A 22,272-nucleotide genomic window follows, 5' to 3' on the forward strand; every position below is an offset into this window, starting at 1 on the left:
CCAGGGTGGGGGCCGGAAGGGAGCTGCTCTCGCCTGACACCCCTCGTGGGCACCCGAGACAGGGAGGCACAGCATGGTGGCCGGGACGTCGTCACCACTGTGGGCTGGAACTGCAGCGTGCTCTGTGTGACACAGGCTGACTCAGGTTTTTCTTTTAAGGCAGGGCTTAAAGGAAGTTTTACTGTGACCAAAGTTCTGTGATTGAGGGGGTGTGGAGAAAACAAAAAGCCTGGCCAAGATGGTGAAACCCCGTCTCTACTAAAAATACAAAAACTAGCCGGGTGTGGTGGCAGGCGCCTGTAGTCCCAGCTACTCGGGAGGCTGAGGCAGGAGAATTGAACCCAGGAGGTGGAGGCTGCAGTGAGCTGAGATTGCGCCACTGTGCTCCATCCAGCCTGGGGGTCAGAGCAAGACTCCATCTCAAAAGCAAGCAAAAAACCCCCAAAAACCCACGAAGCCCCCAAAACAAACCACAGCTAATCCGAACCCAGAAAAATAGACTGGAACCTTCTGGCTTCTCCACACCCCCACCCCAAGCCCGTAAATGAGGTGGACAACCCTGCCTTTGCTCAGGCTCAGCCCTGAAGGGAACAGGAGGGAATCCACAAAAGTTCTGTTCACAGATCGAAGACAGGAGAGGGGGCATGGCCCCACGCCTACCCCCAACCCCACGCAGGGGCCCAGCTGGCGAGGGAGCTCACAGCAGCCTTTGGGGGAATGAAGCCACTGCCCCCGCCACTGGCTCAGCCTGGCAGGGCTCAGGGACCCTCCCAGGTCGGGCTCCTCCGCAGGGGACCCAGTGACCAGGACCCTGTTGATTCTGATGCACGGGCAGTGTCTGCTCTTCTGTGGGGGTTGTTTCTGTAGCTGCCACTCCCTCCCCAGCACCCAGGTACAGGGGACAGACAGCTCAGAAGGAAAAGGGTGAGGCGCCTCCATCAGCTCACCCTCCTGTCACGCCGGGGGCCAACAGTCTCCTGGAGCCACACTGGCTGGAGGGTCCTGGCAGGCATCCTCTGTGCCAAGATCCTCTGAGCAGAGGCCTCGCATCTCCATGCTTGCCTGAGCTGCCTTCCAGCCAGGACAGGGCTCTCAAAGCGCGGACCCTCACCAGCTGCAGCTGCCAGGGAACTGTGGGCAGGGGCACAAGCCAGCCAGCCACAAGCTGAAGCTCAGGGGCGTGCACAGCTGGCCACGGGGTCTGGCCACGGCTGCAGTGCTCAGATCCGTGGGGAGTGATGCTCCTGTTTCTCTCCAGCTCCTACAAGAGGCAGTAATTCCACAGCATTCCCGGTCTGTGCAAAGGCAGAGGACGAGGGGAACAGATAATTTGTTTCAAAATTAAAAGCTAACAACTTGGTAGGAAAAAGGTTTTCTTTTTTTTCAGACAGAGTCTGCTGTGGAGTAGGGTGGCGTGATCTCAGCTCACAGCAGCCTCCACCTCCTGGGTTCAAACGATTCTCCTGCCTCAGCCTCCGGAGTAGCTGGGACTACAGGCGCGCGCCACCACACCCAGCTAATTTTTGGTATTTTTAGTAGAGAGGGGATTTTGCCATGTTGGGCAGGCTGGTCTCAGACTCCCGCCTCGGCCTCCCACAGTGCTGGGATTACAGGCGTGAGCCACCACGTCTGTCCTGGGAGTAAGAAGGTCGTCGAGAGGGGCGACACTGTGTCAGTCCCACACACAGCCCCTCTCCTGGAGGGACGCACTGTACAAAGAGCATTTTAATTAATTTATTTATTTCTTTACACATAACTGAAAGTGATGTTACAGTACATAAGTTATTTACAACTGTGCAGTAATGTGTTGCAAAATAAATTATCTAGAAGGCAGCAAAAGTACATTGTGAAGGTATATAAAACTGTACAGCGTTTACGGATACACTTTTTATATGATTATTGGCTCTGTAGTGTTTCAAGTTACGTTCTCAGAAAGAGAAACAAAATGCCCAAGATTAAAGGAAAGAAGATACAAACCACGCGGATTTGACTCCATTTCAATACGGCTGGGAGTCCTGGCTCTGTGTCCCTCCGCCTGGCTCCGCACCAGGTCTGAAGCCCAGTCTGAGGCCGTCGCAGCTCGGCGGCAACAGAACCACGGCTGGGATGGGGCTCCTGCCCCTCCGACCTGCAGGTCACTGTTTGTGAGAGGTGGACACCTTAATTTTCTTTAGTTGATCAGAATGGAACAAAAAATTTTAAAAATGTACTCCGTTCTCCAACTCCTGAAATGCCTCTGCAGTTGCTGGAGAAAAGGGCCCGAAGGTCGCCGTTTTCAAACAGAAGCTGCCGTGTGTGCGCGCCCGGCATGGTCTCCTCATCCCGCCGGGGCCAGTGAGGCTCTGGGGGCTTTGCCCCCGCCGCGGCAGCTGGTAGAGAAGAGACGTGTTTCACCTCCCCGACGTCTGGACCAGTCTGGAAGGGATGGAGGCGCTGTGGCCAAGTGCAGTCTCTCTCGGGGTCTCTCCCCGCCCGGGTGGACAGGGCGCTCCCTCCTCCGCCCCTGGGGCTCAGCAGCAGTCCTGGGCAGCCGTGCGGCCCTCGCCTGCGTCCTGCGGCCGTCCCGCGGTGTCATGCCGGCAACAATACAAAGTCGTCGTTGACGTCGACCATGGGCACGTAGAAGGAGGGCACCTCGTTCACGCACAGGGACTTGTGCCCGGCGGGGTCCAGTTCCTGCACCTTCAGCTGCCACTCCATCCTCTGCACGGCGTTCAGGGCCGCGGCCTCGTGCTGCTGCCGCATGAGGAGGCAAGTCTGCGGGACACACAGCGGGGAGAGGAGGGAGGAGGAGTGAAGGGAGAGCCCCAGACTCTGCCGACCTCAGCTGCCAGCAGGGCCAAGGGCGTGATACGGCCGTGAACCTACCCTGGTATGGGCCAGGCCCAGCTGTACCCGCTCCTGGCATCTAGTTACTACACGTGGCGGTAGCGCCAGCTGTGCTACATGTCTGTCCCCATAACCGCTGTCTATGCCACCTCTACCCTGGCCTGGGGCTCACCCTGGCCCGGGGGCCCTGCCCTGCTCTGGGTGGGCCTGGGACTCACCTCCAGCAGCCACTGCAGCTTATTAGAATCGAACAGCTTTGCTTTTGTCATTTTACAATTACTTACGGCCAGTGATAGTTTCACTTGTATTTCTAGTAGAAACTATGCCATTTAAAAGTGCACATAAGGGGACTGGACTGGGGTAGCACATATTTTGGAAACTAATGGAGAAATGGAAGCGTGGCCAGGGAGTACTGGTATGTCACAAGCAACCGTGTAGAGAATCTTTTTTAGATACCGTCTCAAGGCTGGAGTGCAGTGGTGCAATCATGACTCACTGCAGCCTTGACCTCTGGGGCTCAAGGGATCCTCCCTCCTCAACCTCCCGAGTAGCTGGGACTACAAGTGCTACCACGCCTAGCTGATTTTTGTAGAGATGGGGTTTTGCGATGTTGGCGAGCTGCAGTGTGATCATGTCTGTCTCTAAATTTTTCTCAACATATATATATGTATGAAATCGTTTTCGAAGCTCAGGATGGATTCACAATCCTCCTCAATGGGCCTCATAGCTTTTACTCGGCAGCTCAGACATCACCAGTGTAAATTGTTACATGGAATCATATAATACCCTTTGGATGTTCCAAACTCCGGTGAGTCACTGAATTACTGATGGGCCTCTGAGTGAGTTTCCAGTTTTGTTCCAGTGAATATTTTTATACATATCCCTAAGGTTTTTTTTTAAATTTTGTCCCCAGGCTGGAGTGCAGTGGTGCAATCTTGGCTTACTGCAACCTCTGTCTCCCGGGTTCAAATGATTCTCATGCCTCAGTCTCCCGGAATTACAGGCACGCACCACCATGCCCAGCTAATTTTTGTATTTTTACTAGAGACGAGGTTTCACCATGTTGGCCAGGCTGGTCTCGAACTCCTGACCTCAGGTGAACCACCCACCTCAGCCTCCCGAAGTGCTGGGATTACAGGTGTGAGCAACCGCACCCCGCCCAAAGTCCCATTTTAATGTAGTCAAACATTTATCTTCTTACAGGAAAGTCTTCCATGTGTCTTTATGAAGCTTTCAGTTTTTTCTCACGGCTCTGGTTAGGAAGGGCCTAGTGGCCTGGGGAGGGTGTGGTGTGAGTGACTTCCTGCACCATCATCTTAGGGCTGGCCAGAAATGCACACTCAGCTACGCCTCAGACCTGAGTTCCTCAGCACAAGCCCCCAGGGGCCACGCTCCCCAAATACCCACAGCTCCCACCGGGTAGGGCTGGTGGTTCTCATCTGTGCCCACATCAGCACCTTTCTGAGAGCTGCAGTATGACACACGGGTGCTTGGTTCAGGGACCTGGGTGGTGCTGAGCCTGATACTGCAGGTAGCCGGGGCCGCCTGCTCCCAGGCCTGGCTGGTGACTGTACAGGGTGACGCTGACTGTAAAGTTCTGTAACTTTTGGCAAGTTTCCGCCTTCCGTTGCCTCCTGGTGGATCCTCCAGGGTGTCCCGGTGAGCAGCCCTCGCGACCGGGATAAGGGTGTGCTGCCCTTCCCGGCACCTCCCCCGCCCCTGCCCACCGCCCTGGCCAGCACTTCCAGAGCAGTGGAGGGTGAATGCTGGGACCTTAGAGGGGGCTCACAGGGCAGTCCCAGGAGTTCTGACCATCAAGCCTAGGGTCCTGTTGAGCTGGCGACAGGAGCCGCTCCCTGCACACCGGGACAGAAGGGAAGACTGAGGAGGCCACACGCAGGGACAGGACCTCACCTCCCCGAAAGCATCGGCCAGATTAAGAGAATCTGAAATTGTCACCGCCCATCACAGAACTGGGCAGCGGCCTCCCCCCAGGCAGCGCAAAGGGGGTTGTCACCACCCATCACAGAACTGGGCAGCAGCCTCCCCCAGGCAGAACTGAGGGGACGCGCAACACCGACCTTCATGCGGTCATACTTGTCATCCACGTCCTGGAGCCAGGAGATGAACTGGCGGGCGTTGAAACGGTCGCGCACTGACTTGTTCTCGTCACCCTGTGGAAACCAAACACGGGAGTTTCATCAGGAGCCCCAGAGACCGCTACGGGAAGGCATGCCAGCCTGGGCGATGCTGCAGTGACCGTTCTCAAGGGACAACCACAGGGGGAGCCTCATTCCACCGCGCACACACTGAATCATGTTCAAGGCATGGCAGGCGCACCCTGCCCATCTCCCTAAACAGCCTCCCTAAAATGCGCGTGGAGGCAGCTGGGCCTTTGTCTCCTGGGCACCGGGTGCCCGCAGGCCCCACCTGTGAGCCGGTCCCCAGCCCTGCCCCCAGGGGACAGTCAGAGCTCAGCCCACTGCCAACTCCTGGGAGAGACTTTTTTTTTTTTTTTTAAGAGACAGAGTTTCGCTTGTTGCCCAGGCTGGAGTGCAATGGCGCGATCCTGGCTCACCGCAGCCTCCACCTCCAGGGTTCAAGCGATTCTCCTGCTTCAGCCTTCCTGAGTAGCTGGGATTACAGGCAGCCACCACGCCCAGCTAATTTTGTATTTTTAGTAGAGACGGGGTTTCTCCTGGGCGAGACTTTCTAGATATGTCACCGTCCTGTGTCCTGAAGGGTGGACACGGATAAGATGTCCAGGCTCCTCCCCTTTTTCACGGGTTCATGGTGAAGCTGACAATGCCGTCTGTTTCTCAGAACATGTGGAGCACCGACAGAAACCCACACACCTGCAGGGAACTCACTTTCCACAAAGGTGCCAAGAACAGAATAACGATCACAGGGAAAGGACAGTCTCTTCCGTAAACGGTGCTGGGAAAACTGGCTACGCATCGCAGAAGAGTGAAACGAGACCCTAGCTCTCGCCACATACAAACATCAAACCAAAATGGATCAAAGTCTGGAATCCAAGACCTTAAACGATGAAACCACTACAAGAAAACACTGGGGAAAATCTCCAGGACATTGGCCTGGGCAAACATTTCTCAAGCAATACCCCGAAGCACAGGCAACCAAAGCAAAAATGGACAAATGGGATCACATCAAGTTCAAAAGCTTCTGTCCAGCAAAGGACACAGTCAACAGGGTGAAAAGACACGCACAGAATGGGAGGAAACGCCTGCAAACCGCTCCTGTCACACAGATTCTCAAGCAGAACATAGAAGGCATGCAATTAACTCGATATGAAAAAATCTAATAATCCCATCAAAAAAACGGGCAAAAGATCTGAATAGACGTTTCTCAAAGGAGACACACAAATGGCCAACAGGCATCTGAAGAGGAGCTCAACATCATTGATCGTCAGAGAAATGCAATTCAAAACTACCGTGAGACATCACTTCACCCCGGTTAAAATAGCCTTTATCCAAAAGACAGACAATCACAATTGCTCGCGAGGATGTGGGGAAAAGGGAACCCTCGTACCCCGTTGGTGGGAATGTAAATTAAAACAGCCGCCGTGGAGAACAGTTTGGCGTTTCCTCAAAAAACTAAAAATTGAGCTACCATAGGATCCAGCAATCCCACTGCCGGGTATAGACCCAAAAGAAAGAAACTGGGGGCCAGGCACGGTGGCTCACGCCTGTAATCCCAGCACTTTGGGAGGCTGAGGCGGGCAGATCACCTGAGGTCAAGAGTTTCAGACTAGCCTTGCCAACATGGTGAAACCCCATCTCTACTAAAAATACAAAAATTAGCCAGGTGTGGTGGTGCGCGCCTGTGATCCCAGCTACCCGGGAGGCAGTGGCTGCAGTGAGCTGAGATCGTGCCACTGCTCTCCAGCCTGGGTGACAGAGGAAGACTCAGAATCACAAAAAGGAAAAGGAATCAGTATATTGAAACGGTGTCCACACTCCCATATTTAACGCAACCCCATTTACTATAGCTAAGGCTTGTGTCCATCAACAGATGAATGGATAAAGAATATGTGCTACATACACAACGGAGTACTATTCAGCCACAAAAAAGAATGAGATCCTGTCATTTGCAAACACGTGGATGGAACTGGGGTCATGATGTTAAGTGAAATAAGCATACAAAGACAAACATCACATGTTCTCTCTCACTTGTGGGATCTAAAAATCAGAACAATTGAGCTCATGGACACAGAGTAGAACGACGGTTACCAGAGGCTGGGAAGGGTTGTGGGGGGCTGGCAGGGAGGTAGAAGTGGTTAATGGGTACCAAAAAAAAAAAAAAAAAAAAGAATGGATAAGACCTACTATCTATCTGACAGCACAATAGGGTAACTGTAGTCAATAGTAACTGCATTGTGTATTTTAAAATAACATATAAGAGCGTTAACTGGATTGTTTGTAACTCAAGGGCTAAATGCTTGAGGGGATGGACACCCATTGGAGAAATAAAGAGGGAAGTAATGCTTCCTTGGAAGGTGTTAGAGGCACGAGCTGGTCCTCCTCATTTTTGCTCTGTACAGAGCTGTCCTGACTGCCTGTCCATCACAGCCTCTCACCTGCGGTACAAGAATGCAAACTTATCAGCATCCAGCCCCCAAAGCACCATTTGGTCCAACTCATGTTTTCTTTAAAGAAAATCTGTCGGCTGGGTGCGGTGGCTCACGCCTGTAACTCCCGCACTTTGGGAGGCTGAGGCGGGTGGATCATAAGGTCAAGAGATCGAGACCATCCTGGACATGGTGACACCCCGTCTCCACTAAAAATACAAAAATCAGCCGGGCATGGTAGCGCATGCCTGTGATCCCAGCTACTCGGGAGGCTGAGGCAGGAGAATCGCTTGAACCCGGAAGCCAGAGGTTGCAGTGAGCCAAGATCACACCACCACACTCCAGCCTGGCAACAGAGCGAGACTCCGTCACAAAAAAAAAAAGGAAAATAAAATTTGTCATTGTGTATATGAGAGACATTGATAAAATACATCCCCAAAGAAAGGAAGATCTTTAATGCACAAAGAGATGTTTTCAACTAAACATCTGGGAGCCCCTGGCTGTCACCACACAGCAAAGCCTAGTGCACTGCTCAGAGTGCCCAGGGCTGGGGTGGCGTCAAGGGGGGCACATATTACGAGGGCTCTCGGTGCGAGATCTGGACACCAAGGCAGGAATGTGTTCCAGGCACGTCCCACTGCACAGGATGTGGGGCCTGGGGTCCAGGGAGCCCACAACCTGAGCGCAGTGGGCTCCGAGGAGGAGGGAGGGGCTGATGCAGGCGAGGCAACGGGAGAGCCAGGGGTCCCACATGGACAGGTCAGTGGTGGCTGGAGGATGATTTCTGAGGCAGGAGTCCCTGGCACATGGGCTGCTTGAAGGCAGACAGGAAGAGCTGCCCCAGGGAGAGCCACGGGGCCCTGGCCGCCCACATCCTATGTCCCAGTGGACAGAGCAGGTCAAAGGCACGGGAGCTGCAGGGGTGGGCGGGAGCCCCACAGCAGATGGGCAGGACAGTGACTGTAGTTCTGGAACCCTGAGTCCGGCCCGCCCTGGCCCAGATGAGCGGCACACCTGGGTGCCCGTGTTCCCTTAGCCACCCAGTGTCCCTGCTGTCCCCGTATGACAGCCCCTGGGGCCTGTGCTGTGAAAGCCCTCGATGTGGCAGCCCTGGGGTGCCTGAGAGCAGCAGGTGGAGCCCAGCAGTTTAAACAGAAAATAATGCCAGCGCTGACACCCGTGAGAGGTAGGTAGGGGCAGGTGCTCCAACTGCATGGACAAGTGTTACGGAGGGACTGAGCTGCTGAGGCCCAGCCCAGTGGCCTGAGGGCCTTGCCCGTGCGGGGAGCTGTCTGCTGTCTGCTGCAGCCTTCTTGGCTCCTTTCTGAGGCTCGCCCAAGGCTAGAGGCATGCAAAGGACTCTGTAGCCCCTGCAAGGTGCTGAGCACCCGGGAAGCTCCTGGTCAAAGTGCAGAATCTATCAAGGGGAGGGGAGGCGGGCAGGGTGCAGGCACTTGGACTCATGGGCCTGGCATGCAGACGGGCCCTACCTGGCTCTCCAGGGGCATGTTGTAGACCTCGGAGTCCAGCAGCATCGTGCAGGCGCTGAATGGCACTGCCTGGTTGGCGATGGTCCTGGCCGCCCGGCAGTGAACCCGCAGAATCTCCTGCTCACAGGATACGATCAGCTTCTCCTGAAGGAGGAGAGGAGTAGAGTGAGCTGGGACACAGCCACGCTCCAGGCCCCACTGTCAACACGACAGCCCCTGGGGCCTGCGCCGTGAAAAGCCCTGGCCGTGGCGCCCCCCTGCCTGTGCCAGCCCACTTACCCGCTCGATGCTGTGCTGTAGACGCAGCTTTCCCCGGACGGCCTCCTGCTGCCTGAACAGCTCCTTCAGGGGCTCCGCCAGGGAGGGAGGGGGTGCGATCTACAGGCAAAAGGTGAGTGTGGGGGGTCAGCTGGGGCTGTGGAACTGCACGAAGGATATAGTCTGGAGTTCACGGGGGTCCCGACTCAGCCTCCCCACTCCTAGGAGCCTGCCCTGGAGGCCTCCTCCAGTCCCAGCAACAGACACACCAGGAAGCTTCTAGAAACCACTATGTGCTGGACGCGGGAGAGCGGACACCTCCACGGTGCCCCGTACAGCACCACGCAGTGAGGAGATAGTGCAGGGAGAGGCGCGGGACAGTATCTGTGGGCCATCGTGTGCCAAGGAGGGCCTGAAACACCGGCATGAGCACCCAACTGTGCAGAGGAGATACAGCGAGACAGCAGGAGGGGGCTGGGGGTAGGCTGAGCTTCCTGTGTTCACAGGGAGGGCCCATGCACCCCAAATCAGCCTTTCAACCAGGCTGTAACGTGCACAGTGGAATATGAAAGCTGACAACCGAGCCGGTGGTCTTGCAGTGGCTCGGGGGAGGGAAGCACGCACTGGCCCAGGTCCCCGTGGGGGCTGGGGGACTGTGGGCCGGAAGCGCAGGCACTGCACTCCCACCAGCAGAAGGGTTCTCACAGAGGTGGGTCGGCCATTCTGAAACTACATGCATGCTGGAAGTGAATGAGGAAGTAAAGACAGCCGAGACCATCAGGATGAGGCCTCACACTCTTGGAGAAACAAGGCCCACACAGGAGCGGGGAGCCAGGCTGAGCCCCGCAGTGCAGCAGAGACCTCAGGCCCACAGGGAGTCAGGTTTCCAAAGCAGACCCAGAAAGCATGGCCGTGTGCTCGGGGCCACAGCAGTCGTACCAGGGCCACCACTCCCCACAGGTGGACCCACACGGTAATGGCAAGGCGGAGCCGGGTGGCCAAGACCAGCTGGAACATCGAGGGGCCAGTCAGCAACAGGAGCGCACGGGGCAGATGGGCAGGTGGACGCACAAGAGGGAGACCAGGAAGAGCTCCTGACAGCCAAGGCTGGGGCGACTCATGGCATGAGACCAACGCTGGCGATGCCGGGCACCTGCAGGCGGAAGGGGTGGCTCCTGACAGCACAGCTCCAGTTAGCGGACACAGGAGAGGGAGACAGGCCCAGCGCACAGGAGTGACTGCTGCAGACGAGAGCCGTGGACAGCGATGCGCATGGACAATGGGCTGAGAGAAACAGCCTCACGCAGTCTCCACGTCTCTTCCAAGACACACACACACACCACAGAGGGAGAGACTTCAACTCATGGTGGACGGGCCTGACCAGGCCTCCAGGTCACGTCACCTATGACACCAGGAGCAGAAGGCCCCGCCTCACGCCTATAGGCTCCTGCCTAAGAAGCATCATCGCAGGCCAGGCCTGGGGCCTCTGACCACACTGCTGACCGACACTGCCCAGAAGCTCCCAGCCAGGAGACAGGGCACGGGAGGGCCTGCCACAGCGTGGACGCACGGCAGGGTCTCGTCACCTCCACGGCTCCTAAGGCACATTCAGGGGAGGCTGGGCGTGCAGCAGGTGCATAAACCTATCTCTGCTGTTTCTGAACTTTTCTGCCCATCTAAAATCAGTTCAAAATTAATGATTTAGGCCGAGCGCAGTGGCTCACACCTGTAATCCCAGCACTTTGGGAGGCTGAGGCAGGCGGATCACAAGGTCAGGAGTTTGAGACCAGCCTGACCAACATGGTGAAACCCTGTCTCTACAGAAAATGCAAAAATTAGCCGGACGTGGTGGTGGGCGCCTGTAATCCCAGCTACTCAGGAGGCTGAGGCAGGAGAATTGCTTGAACCGGGGAGGTGGAGCTTGCAGTGAGCCGACATCACGCCACTGCACTCCAGCCTGGGTGACAGAGTGAGACTCTGTCTTAAAAAAAAAAAAAAATGGATTAAAAAATGTAGCAAAGTCCCTCTAGTCCACAGACCTCACTCTGTTCAGCACCACATCCACCCTGCCTCGACGAGCCCAGCCCCCCAGTGAGGGTTCTGCTGAGATGGGGCCCGTCGGTGGCAGGGATTCTGTGGGCCACCTCCAAGGTGGGACTGATGCGAGCTCAAGCGAATGCACAGCCCAGGACCCGGCACCACCCCTTCCTCTGGCTCAGCCCCAGGGCCGGCAGCTACAGCAGGAGCTGTGCCTTGGGCCTCAGGCAGCACCTGGCACCTGGGCCTGCCTGGGTCTAGGTCTGGGGGGTACTCAAAAGACCAGGCGGGAGGTGCACAGAACATTCCCAGGACTACTCAGATTGGCAGGATTCTAGTGACTTTTTTCCCCTGTATTTTCCAAATTTTCTACAGCAGTCAGACTAGTGTTATGATCCATTAAACGAGAAAACAAAACAACAAAAAGCACAGAAGGTCAGAAGATCAGAAGGTCTTACTGAGGAGAGATCCTGGGGCAGGTTTTTCTGAATGTCATGACCCAACTGCCGTCTCTGTCTTCTGTGGATGAGCCTCCCCGGGGACGGCTGGGGTCAGGCTCGCGGGGAAGGGAAAGACCGCAGAGGTCACCGTGGGTGCAGTGCCCCTCGTGCTCCCTGGGAGCAGAGCTCAGAGCTTGGCAGGGTGGGGCCCGAGGGCGCCCGCTCCTGGATCCTGCACAACGTCCCTGACATGTCGGCCAGCAGCACAGACCCAGCCTCACCCTCAGGGCAAGCTCAGCAGACCCCGTCATCCTCACCAGGGGGGTGCTGGGTAGCTGAGCCAGGTCAGGGCCAGCACGGCGAGGGGCCTCAGGCGGCCTGGGCCCACAGAGCCAACGCGTGTGGAGGGCCCCTGGCTGTACCTCACGCCACCTGCGAGTTTCAGTGCCCAGGAATCCCCAGAAGGAAATGGCCATTGGTGACGGCAAGCCTGTTCTGGGCATAACACAACACACTCAAGCGAGACGGCTGCATCAACCACACAGTCCGCTAGGCACAGTGTGAGTGGAGTCGCGTGGTCTGGGAGGAGACTCCAGGGAAGAGCCAGAACGCCACACGCTGGGGCTGGATGGACCCTGGGGGGCCTGAGAACAGGAGGGCAGGGGAGGCCGTGCACAGCTCAGGCCGTCACCGAGGACAGACGGGTGGGCTCTGCCTCCCCCATGAGGAATCCCTGTGCCTGCTGGGAAAGACCCCAGTGGGTAGGAGGAGGTGGGAACCCAGTCAGGCCCCGCGGCCCAGGGCAGAGAGTGCACAGGGCAGGCAGCCCTCATGGGAATGTGCTCAGAGCAGGGCCCCATTTGGAGGGATCTATTTTGGGCCCAGACGTAGCGCAAGGAGCTGGGGGAGTGGGGGTGATTCCGAGATGTTTCACCTGAGCCTGCAGAGGTAGGGATGATGCCTGGGGAACTGGGCTGACAGGGTCAGGTGGAACAAGGTGAGGCTGGGGGCCGAGGACCAAGCTGCCCCAAGGGAGCTGCAGCTCTGCTGTCCCAGAAGCCCAAGGGAGGAGGTGGGGGAAGGGACTCATCGTGCAGGTATGGAGGCTCAGGGAACCCACGCGGGTCCAAGGGAGAAGGGGGCGGGGCAGGGGCAGGAGACACAGGGGGTGGCTCTCGTGAGGCCGTCCTGGTGGACGGGGAGTGGAGAGGGGAGAGTGAGCGGCGTGAAGGGGGAGCCCCACACGAGTGGGACCGGGGTGCACCCAGGGTGAGGGGGAGGTCAGGAGACCGAGGCCTGGCACGGACCAGCTGGAGGAAGGACCTCGGGTCTGCAGAACAGCTGGGCAGCTTCCGGCTTTTGCCTCCACAGCAGAAGTGGGGCTGTGTCTCCTCAGGTGGCAGAAGGTCGAGAGAGGTCAAGGGCCATGAGTGGGACAAGACGGGCTGGAGGAAGCCGTGACTAGGGGCCCCAGACGCATCCCAGAGAGAGAAGGCAGTGGCTCTCCCGGGCCCCGCACTCACCACGGGGATGTGGAGCTTGCTGAGCGGCTTGCCGTCCAGGAGGTAGGAGCCCGTGTAGGTGACGTACTCGGCGTAGCACTGGGGCGCCTGCGGCGTGATACAGCACAGGATCTTGCGCTTCTCCTCGATCTTCTTCCTGATCTGCAGGTATTCGAAGTAGGGGTTGGCCCTGTCGCTGTGGTAGGGCTCGATGGCATCCAGCTTGATGGCGTCCACGATGGCGGCCAGCGTCTGCTGGATCACCTCCCGCGTCTGCTGCGTGGACGTGTTCAGCTGCTGCTGCAGCTGCTGGGTGGAGCGCTGAAAGCGGCGTTTGCGCGGATGCTGGGCCTGGGCGTCGTCGTCCTCGGAGCCGCGGGCCTTGGCCCTGGTGACCGGGGCAGGGGTGGGGGCGCACTCCTTCTCGGAGGGGGGCGGGCCCTGCTTGCTCTGGTTCGCGAGCATCTGCGCCCGGTTCCTGGTCATGCGCTGAGGGATCTCCTCCACTCGGGGGGCCTTCGGGGCTTCGGCCGTGGGTTTTGGTTCTGCGGCTTCCGGCTGGATGCCGCCAGGAGGGCCTTCGGCTGGGGCGGCGGCACGGGAGGCCTCAGTGTCGTCCTCGGGGCCGGCACCGTCTGCGGCCTGAGCTTGTGCCACAGTGTTCGGGGCGGGGCCGTCAGGGGCACAGAGGGACGCGGCGGGGGGGCCTTCAGCCTCAGCCCCCTGGTCTCCGCTCCCCAGTGGGCGCTGTTCTGGGGGAACGGGCGCGGGCTCCACGCTGGAGTCCGGATCCCCACGGGCCCTCTCTTCCGGCACCGTCTCCGCCTCCACCGCAGCTTCTAGAGCCACGTCCAGCTTTGGCTCCCCTGAGGGCTCAGGCTCGAGCTCTGCAGGGAGCCGGGTGGAGGCCTGGTCAGGAGGCAGTGCCGGCGGCTCCTCAGCCACTACGGTGGAAACATCCCCACCGTTTATGACCCCGGGGGCCCCTGGAGGCATCTCTTCTGGAGGAGCAAGACTTTCTTCCACGGGTTCCGCTTCACCATCTGCGGCATCTTTAGTCTGCAGGGGAAGCTCCGGCAGGGAGAAGGGCCCCAGGTCCAGGTCGTCCTCGGGGCCGGCGAAGGCGTCCGCCCAGGGCACCGGCTCCACCTGGCCGAGGTGAGACAGGCCGCGGCTGCCGTCCAGGAAGCTATTTTCCAGGGGCCCCAGAGCCTCCACCTGAGCCACAGCGGCTACACAGGCGGGCTCGGGGGCCACGTCCAGCGGGGCTTCCGGAAGTGACTTGCAGTTGCTGAAGAAGGACTCCAGCCCGGAGGGAGGGGCGTAGGGAGCCGCCTCTGAGGTGGAGATGGCGGCGGGGACGGCGTCCACTCCGTCCTTGACGTCCTCCAGCCCCGGCTCAGCGACGGGCAGAGCGTACGGGGCAGGAGAGGCGGGAGGGGCGGGGTACGGCGCCTCCGAGGCGCTGAAGGGCCCTGGGGCGGCAGAGTGGAGGGGGTCCGCGGGGCAGAAACGCTTTGGGGACTCGGGGAATCTCTGTGGAGACTTCAGCAGGAGGTCCGAGCCCACAGGCCAGCTCACAGGGTTTTCAGAGGTGCCCCCGATCAGGCTAGAGGCAAGCGCCTGCTCGGAGGGGTGGGCCCACTCAACGGGCTCCTCGGTGATGACGGCGCTGAAGGGACCCTCGTCCAGCGGCTCCAGGTAGCTGGGCTCCGGGGGGATGATGGCGGCCGTCGCCTGCTGGTCCTCGGAGGTGTCCAGGTCCGGGGGAAGGGCCCCTTCGAGGGAAGGAACCAGCAGCTCGGCTCTGGGGGAAGGGGAAGGTTTTGCTTGTAAACTTGAGAAGACGCCCTCTGGAGACGGGGTGACAGTGACAACGGCAGCCGGTGGGCAGTGCAAAGCGTCGACTTTGGGCGACGGGAGGCCATAGTCTGGGGAGTAGTACCCTGGCGACAAGCAGGCAAACTTCTCCGCGGGAACCGGGGGCAGGGGCGCCCTGTCTTCCATCGAGGGTGGCATGGGAGAGTCGTAGCTGGAGGCAGCAGGAACGCTCTGCTGCCTGAAGAGCTTGTCTCCGACGCTGAATTCTTCCTCGGGGGTCCTCCTAATGTCGACAGAGACCGAGCGGTAAAGGTTTGTGGAGAGAGGCCTGGCAGGAGCCTGGCTGGCGTTTTCCGAAAGCCCACTTGAAGCCACGGAGAACCTGTCGAAAAAGGAGGGGGAGCAGGCGCTGGTGGGAGCGGTGGGCACGGGCGTGGAGTGCTGCGAGTCGGCGCAGTCGAACACGAGGTCCGCGTAGTCATCGGCGCTGCAGGACGGGGTCCTGGGCGTGTGCATCACCTCCTCGTAGCTGGGGCAGGATAGCACCGACGTAGGGGTGGGCACGCCAGTGGGCCGGCTCTGGTCAGGCCTGGGGGACGCAGGCAGGACCTCTTTCATGTGAGGGCCTGCCAGCCAGTCTTTGGAGTCTGCACCTGATGCTGGGTGTAGCTTATTTTCCGCGGCAGGTGGAATAGGAGTCGACTCTTTGAGCTTTTTGTCTTTAAATGGAGGGTCCAGCCCCGGCGGTTTCTTAGCAGGAATGTCCAGACCCTTCTTCCGCCCGTCGTCTGCCGGCTTCGCCTTCTCCTTGAGCTTGGGGTCTCCGGACCGGTGCCTCAGCTTCTCCATTTGCTTCATCCTCTCCTTGTGCCGCTTGTGGCGCTCCTCGATCTCCAGGTCCTTCTGGGACAGCATCCTCTCGAAGCTGGTCATCATCAGGTCGCCGTCCCCCAGGAGCTTCTCCCTGGGCCTGGCGTCTTTCTTGCCTGGGTCTTTGGATGGCGCTACCTTATCATTCCCGTTGCTCATCTTCACTGGGTCGCCCTTTTCTTTCTCTGCACCGTCCTTGAATTTCTCCTTCAGTTTGGCATCGCCGAGCCTCGGGCCCTCGTCCCTGGACTTGTCTTTGAGCACGCGGGGCGGGCTGTCCTTGTCCCTGGTGGCGGGCTTCTGCTCGTCCCTGTGATGCCGCAGGAGCTCGTCCCTGTGATGCCGCAGCAGCCCATCCGCATGCCTGTCCCGGTGCCTCTCCTTCTCGTCTCTCCATTTCTCCCTGTGTTTCTCTCTCTTCTTCTTCTCTTTTAGGATGTTGATGGCACTAGATCCATAAGGCTTTAGTTCCTTTTCTATTTTCTTGGAAGGTTCTCTCTCGGAATCATTTTTATCTTTCTTTTCGGTAGAAAACAATTCAATGGTTTTATCTAGCTCATCTTCTATGTCAGCTTTCATGTTGTAAGAAACTCCGTAAGCATCCGCCTCCAGGAAGTCCTTTTCGTACTGGCCGGAGTCCTTCCTGCTACCGCCCTCCTTGTAATCTTCGCCCTTCTCTTTCTTCTCGGCCTTCTCTTTCTTGGCTCGCTCTCGGTCGTGGCTCTTCTTGGATGAAGATGAGGAGTGTCTGTGCCTCTCCTTCTCTTTCAGCTTCTCAGGGAGGCAGGCGCTCTCCCTCGGCTTGTCGTCTCCAGGTGGCTCCGTGAAAGAGACCTCCAGGAAGGCAGTCAGCCCCGGCTCCTGCCCTCGGTCCGTGAAGCTGTCAGAGGAGACCTCGCTGATTTTATCGTTGGAGTCTTCTCTGTACTCATGGAGAGCCTCTTCTTCCAACTTTTCAAGCAGGCTTTTTTCCGCGTCGGCACTTCTCGAGGACTTCCTCTCCTTGGAATGTTCTTTGTCCGACTTCTCTTTGTGTTTGCTTTTAGCCTTGTCTTCGGCAGCGTGCTTCTTTTCAGCCTTCTCGGGGAGCTTCTGTTTATTTTTCTTATCTTGCGTGGAGTCCACTGAGGCTCTGTCCTTCCTGTCCTTGTACTTTTCTGTGGACTCTTTATCCTTCTTCTCCTTGTGCTTTTCAAAGACTTTCTCTTTTTTGTCTCTCCCCGCGTCGGCAGCCCCTCGGTCCTTTCTCCTGTCTCTGGGCTCCTTGTCCTTCTGCCTCTCAGGGTGCTGCTTGTCAGAAGACTTCCTGTGTCTGTCGGAGGCATAGGCCTCCCGTCCTTCCTCCTTCTCCTGGAGGCCGTCCGTCCTCGGCAAGTCGCTGGCCTCTCCCATCTTGAACCCGCTCCCCATGCAGCTGTCTCTGTCGTCCTCACTCTCATCTGTGAAGATGTCTGCGATGTACCAGCTTTTCTCTTTGCCTTTCTTGTCATCTTTTTTTTCAGAGAAGTCTTCTGAGATGATCCCAGGGAAAGCCTTCTCCTTCTTCTCTTTCCCTTGGTCGAGAGACGCTTTCCTTTCTTTGTCTTTGCCATGTGTGTCTTTATGTTTTTCCTTGGTATCTTTTTTCTCTTTAAAACATTTATCAAATTCTTTGTCCTTCTGACATTTTTCCAGGATTGATTTCTCACTTTTGTCCTTGTCACTGGATTTCTCTTTGTATCTTTCTGGTTTTGTCTTCTCCTTCCTTTCCTTATCGGGGCCATCCTTCTTCTCCTTCTCTCGTGCTGGGTGGTGCCGTTCCCACGGCTCCAGGCCCTTCCCAAAGTCGCCGTCGGACTTGTCCTTGAAGCCACTCTCGCAGCCACACTCCTTCAGCTCCTCCCGGTGCGCCTCCTCGGGCTTGGCCCTGCCGTCCCTGCGCTCCTTGCAGCTCTCCAGGGCGTCCTTTCTGTCCCGCCCGGCCTCTGCGGACTCTCTCCTCTTCTTGTCCTTTTCCGAAAGGTAGCCAGGGACACTTTTATGCTTTTCGGTCTGCTCTTTCCTCTTCTCAGAGTTTTTATCCAAATAGTCCCTGTCCTTCTTTCGGAAGAAGGGCTCTCTGTAGTCTCGCTTCTCCCGGGCCCGGCTGTCCCGCCTCCTCTCCTTGCTGTCCTCCTTCACCGTCTCCAAGATGAGCTTGGCCACAGAGTCGCTCTTCATGTCCCTGTAGTCTGTCACTGGCGAGTCCCAGCTGTCCTCCCCTTTGAAATCAAAGGATGAATCGGACAAGTCAGAAAACCACCGATCTCGCTGATCGTCAGAAAGGCTAAATTTGGTGTCTTCATTCTCCAGAAACTGATTTTTGTTACAATATTCGTCAAAAGCAGAATCTTCCCTATAAACCTTTTCTTTTTTGAGTTTTTCTTTATCTTCTTTAAAAATCTTCTCCTTCTCTTTTGAAATTTTGTCCTCTTTTAAATCATTCTTCTTCTCTAATTTTGAGGGCCGGTCTTTTGATTTCTTCTTTCTCTCCTCTTTGTACAGTCTCAGTTTTTCTTCTTTCGGAGACTTTTCCTTCAGCGATCTCTCCTTTTCTGCTTTATTCGAACGGTCTTTCTCTTCTCGGAAAGACCTGCTGATGTCTTTGTTTGTGTCTTTGATTCTCTTCAGTGATTTTTCATCTTTAAAGAGCCATTCTTTTTCTTCTAATTTCATTTTGCTAAGTTTCTCTTCTTTTTTAAAGTGGTCGCGATCGTGCTTTAACACTTTTAGCTTGTTTTCAGTGGAAAGATCATTCTCTAACAGTATAGCCTTATCTGACTTCTGCTTGGAGTCCTCATATTCGTAAGTAAAACTTTTCAACTTCAGCTCTTGGCTGATGGAACACTGTCCCTTCTCCTTGTTTTTGTGTTTGTGTTTTGTTTTATGTTTTTTGACAACTTTCCCCTCCTTGTCCAGTTTGGGGACAGCGCCCTCCGCGCTGGACAGGAAGGGGCTCTTCTTCTCCGACAGGGAGGCTCGCTTCCTGTGCTCCTGCCTCTTCCTCACTGGCTTCAGCGATTCCACACTGGAGCCCTCAGAGGAGTAGTCAGACTCGCTTGTCAGTCTCGTCCTTGTGGAGTCTGATAAAGAACTGACCTCTGACCAAGCCGGGGAAGAAATGGTTTTCCAATTGTCTGTCCGCCAGTGCTTGGTGTGCTGGTCTGTGTGGCTGGGGTTCTGCTTCTGGGCGGCAGAGCTCCCGTGAGACGAGGTGGAGGAGGCAGAGAGGGAGCTGAACAGGGAGGGGTCCTTCAGCACCAGCGGGGACCCCTTGAGGCAGCCAGAGCTCCCCAGAGAGTCCCTGTCATCCTCCCCACTCTCTGAGGACTCGCTCTCCGACTCCGAGGAGCAGAACTTGTCGCTCCGCTTTCCGAAGCGAACCTCTCTGCCTTTTGTTTCTTTCTTTCGCTTCTTTTTCACTTTATTTTTTTCCTTCTGCTGCTTGGCATTAGAAGGCTCTCGTGTCTTACTACCAGGCAATATCGTATGTGCCGAGAGTCTCAGCTTCTCTCCTGTCCCCACGGTGACACTCGCGTCCTCCTCGTCCGACGTGTCTGACAGGATACGATGGGACGCTTTCTTTGGTGCAATCGTGTTATTTTTAGTGTAACTTTTAACCTCCATTTTGGGTATAGAGATAAAACTATTGGATTTCGTTTCTTTTCTGTAGTCCTTTTTCAATAGGTGCTTGTCGTCCACCGGAGGAACCCTGTCCTGCTCGTCGTCCTCATCAAACTCATACTCGTCCTTGACGGGGGCCGTGGCCTTCTGTGGCTCTGGGTTCTTGGCCTTGTGCTTGAGGCCTTTTTCGAACTCGGAGTCCGTGTTGTTGCCGTCGACTGAACTGGAAGGTGCGAAGGATGGTGCGTCTTCCTCTTCTGAGCTCTCTGTTGGAGGTAGGAAGCGAGAGGTCACAGGCAGGCTCAAAACAGCTCTCCCCAGAATGGCAGAGGAGGGAGGCTCTGCAGATGTGTCTGCGGGAAGGTTCCCACCCTGCCTCTGCAGAGACACTTTGCTCGACTCATGGAAACCAGCCACAGGCAGGAGGAAACCAGACAGAGCTCAGCTGACAGACAGGGCTGGCATCTTAGAATGAAGACTGCAGGCTTCTCGGCAGTGACACACCTGGGCGGGGTCTCCCGCAGTCCAGAAGCTCCTGTAAGCCCCCAGCATCCGAGGAGGAGCTGATCAGAGGGGCAACACTGTGCAAACACCACAGGGCAGCTCCTACCATCCCTGCATAAAAGAACAGGCAGCTCAGGTGGCCGTGACTTACCCGTCGAGCTCTCCTCGCTGGAAGTGTAAGTGCCTTTGCCTAACAGGAGGTTCACCATCGTGGGGGAGTTGGCCACTTTCAGCGGCGTCTCGCCTTTCCTGTTGCTCTGCTGCGGGTTCCCTCCGTACCGCAGCAGCAGCTTCACCACCTACAAGACAGTAACACCCGCGTCAGGGACTGCTGGAGAAGCACAACTCCTCTACCGTTCCGCATAACACGGCAGCCCCTTCCGAGAACCCTGGGGTTCGACCCGAGAGCAGCCCCTCACGGTCTGAGGGTGTGGGAGCCGAGCGCCCAGGGACTGCCTGGCGAGGCTCTGGGTGTGGTGGGCGAGGCTGTGGCTCCTCTGTGGGAAGGGCTGCAGCCGCGGGGGCTCCCGCACCCCTCCTGTGCTCTCCTTCAGAAGGGCTCTGCCTCCTTTGGATTTTTTTCCACCATTTCTCCGTTGCCGCAAGTAGACGACTTCCCAGGAATCTTCTCACGAAGGCTCTCCCCTCCCGCCAACAGTGAGCTCCTCAGCAGAGTGGTGCCGGAGTGGTCGTGGAGGGCTCAGGCAAGAGGTTAGGGAGAAGAGTGTTATGGAAAGGGTTGGGGGGACAGAATAGAGGAAACAAAGACCAAGTTTCTGCAAGCTGCTTTATTTTTTATTTTCATTTACATTAGAAAATAATCTCTCCCTTGCTTGATTTTACAAGGGTAAGGGTGGTCACATGACTGACAGAGACAACCATGGTGACACAGCTCTTTTCAGCTGTTCATCACCAGCAACCTGGATTTCCTATGCCCAGAACAGCAATGCACTGAACTCAAGTACAAATTAAATTTAATCCCAACTTTAGTCCAGTCTGAGATTAGCGCATTCAAAGAATCTGTCATAACGTTTACTATAGACTCTTGTCGCCCACAGAATCAGTTTCCAGTTCGTGTGTGACATGTTCTATTGTTGAATCAGTACAGAGTTCTTATGTGTGTGAGTTTTCTATGGTGACTACACAAAACCTCAGGCTTACAATTGTGGAGGTCAGAGGTCAAGGTGCTGGCAGGGCAGGATCCTTCCTTTCCTCCATCATGGGGGCTGCTGGCAGAATTCAGTTTCTTGCAGGGCTGGGACGGAGGTCCCCAGTCCCAGCTGCTTAGGGGCCACCACACTCCTCGGCCCTCCTCTAAGGCCAGCAGCGCAGGTGCGGCCCTCCTCGGGTTCTAACCTCTCCTGCTTCTGGCATCTCTCAGACTCAGCAGGAAAGGCTCTCAAGCTTTAAGGGCCCATGGGGCTGCCCTGGGCCTGCAAGATGACCTAGGACAATCTCCCCATGTGAGGCACTCACAAGGTCTGGGGGTCACAACACGGGCATCTTGGGGGCCATTATCCTGCCTACCTCACCGTAATTCCAGGGTCCTTGACATTTTTCGTAATAAAAAGTTTAAAAGTGGTAATTACAGAACTATAAAGCTGCATCGGATGCCCCAGCCCCATCACCCTCCAGGGCCATTCCCCTCACACCTGCCCTCCCCTGCAGCACTGAGCGAATCCCAGACACTGCAGAGCCTTTTCCAGTTCACGTCTCTGGAAGAGCCCATAAAACAGAAACAGTATAAACCATAGTGCCATTCATTATCTTACCCAGAAGTTTAACGGTCATATTTTAACATCAAATAGGGACTCAGTGTTCTGAGTTCCCTGCTCGTCTCAGAGTCTTCAATCCACCCCCCACCCCACCGGAACAAGCCGTTTCTCAAGTGAGCTCTTTAAGGCCAAGGCACTGTGGGCTCCAGGACCTCCAGCAATGGCCAGGCTGGGCTTGCTGCAGAGGAGCACGACGGGCACCAGCAGATGTGGCCCCGTGTGACCCCTCAGCCTTGCTGTCCTGCCTGCAACCAGGGGCTCTCCACGGAGCTCTGATGAAGACATCAGTGAGACCCGCCGCATCTCCAGGCAGCACCCCTGCTTTCCGGCAGGACGGGGCTGTCAGGCACACCACGACCTCTCTCGACCCCCACAGAGGCTGAGACCTCTCAGTGCCCACTGCTCCTGGGCCGGCCACAATGGCCACTTTCTAAAGCTTGAGTCTATGGTTCTGTGCACTGGCCACACCTCTTGGTGTTACCTCATTCCAGACGAGGGTGGGTCTGCCTTGCAGGT

The 22,272-nt window shown here is 56.7% G+C and overlaps 1 protein-coding gene across 4 annotated transcripts in view; it reads right to left on the reverse strand.

Annotated features, from left to right (window-relative positions):
- The window catches only part of ANKRD11 (ankyrin repeat domain containing 11), a 222,932-nt gene continuing 202,383 nt past the window's right edge, over positions 1,724–22,272 (reverse strand). For 3 of the 4 annotated variants that reach the window (NM_001256183.2, NM_013275.6, NM_001256182.2), the window contains 6 exons: positions 20,133–20,280; positions 13,166–19,743; positions 9,187–9,285; positions 8,908–9,051; positions 4,911–5,003; positions 1,724–2,757 (listed from right to left, as the gene is read on the reverse strand). In NM_001256183.2, the coding sequence (NP_001243112.1) occupies positions 2,572–2,757; positions 4,911–5,003; positions 8,908–9,051; positions 9,187–9,285; positions 13,166–19,743; positions 20,133–20,280 (7,248 nt within the window). In that variant the 3' untranslated portion in view covers positions 1,724–2,571. Of the gene's footprint in view, positions 2,758–4,910; positions 5,004–8,907; positions 9,052–9,186; positions 9,286–13,165; positions 19,744–20,132; positions 20,281–20,754; positions 21,208–22,272 lie in introns of those variants that run through there. The other variant, NR_045839.2, reaches the window with a different exon arrangement.

The sequence above is a fragment of the Homo sapiens genome, chromosome 16 (genome assembly GCF_000001405.40).
Source record: "Homo sapiens chromosome 16, GRCh38.p14 Primary Assembly".
Lineage (NCBI taxonomy): Eukaryota > Metazoa > Chordata > Mammalia > Primates > Hominidae > Homo > Homo sapiens.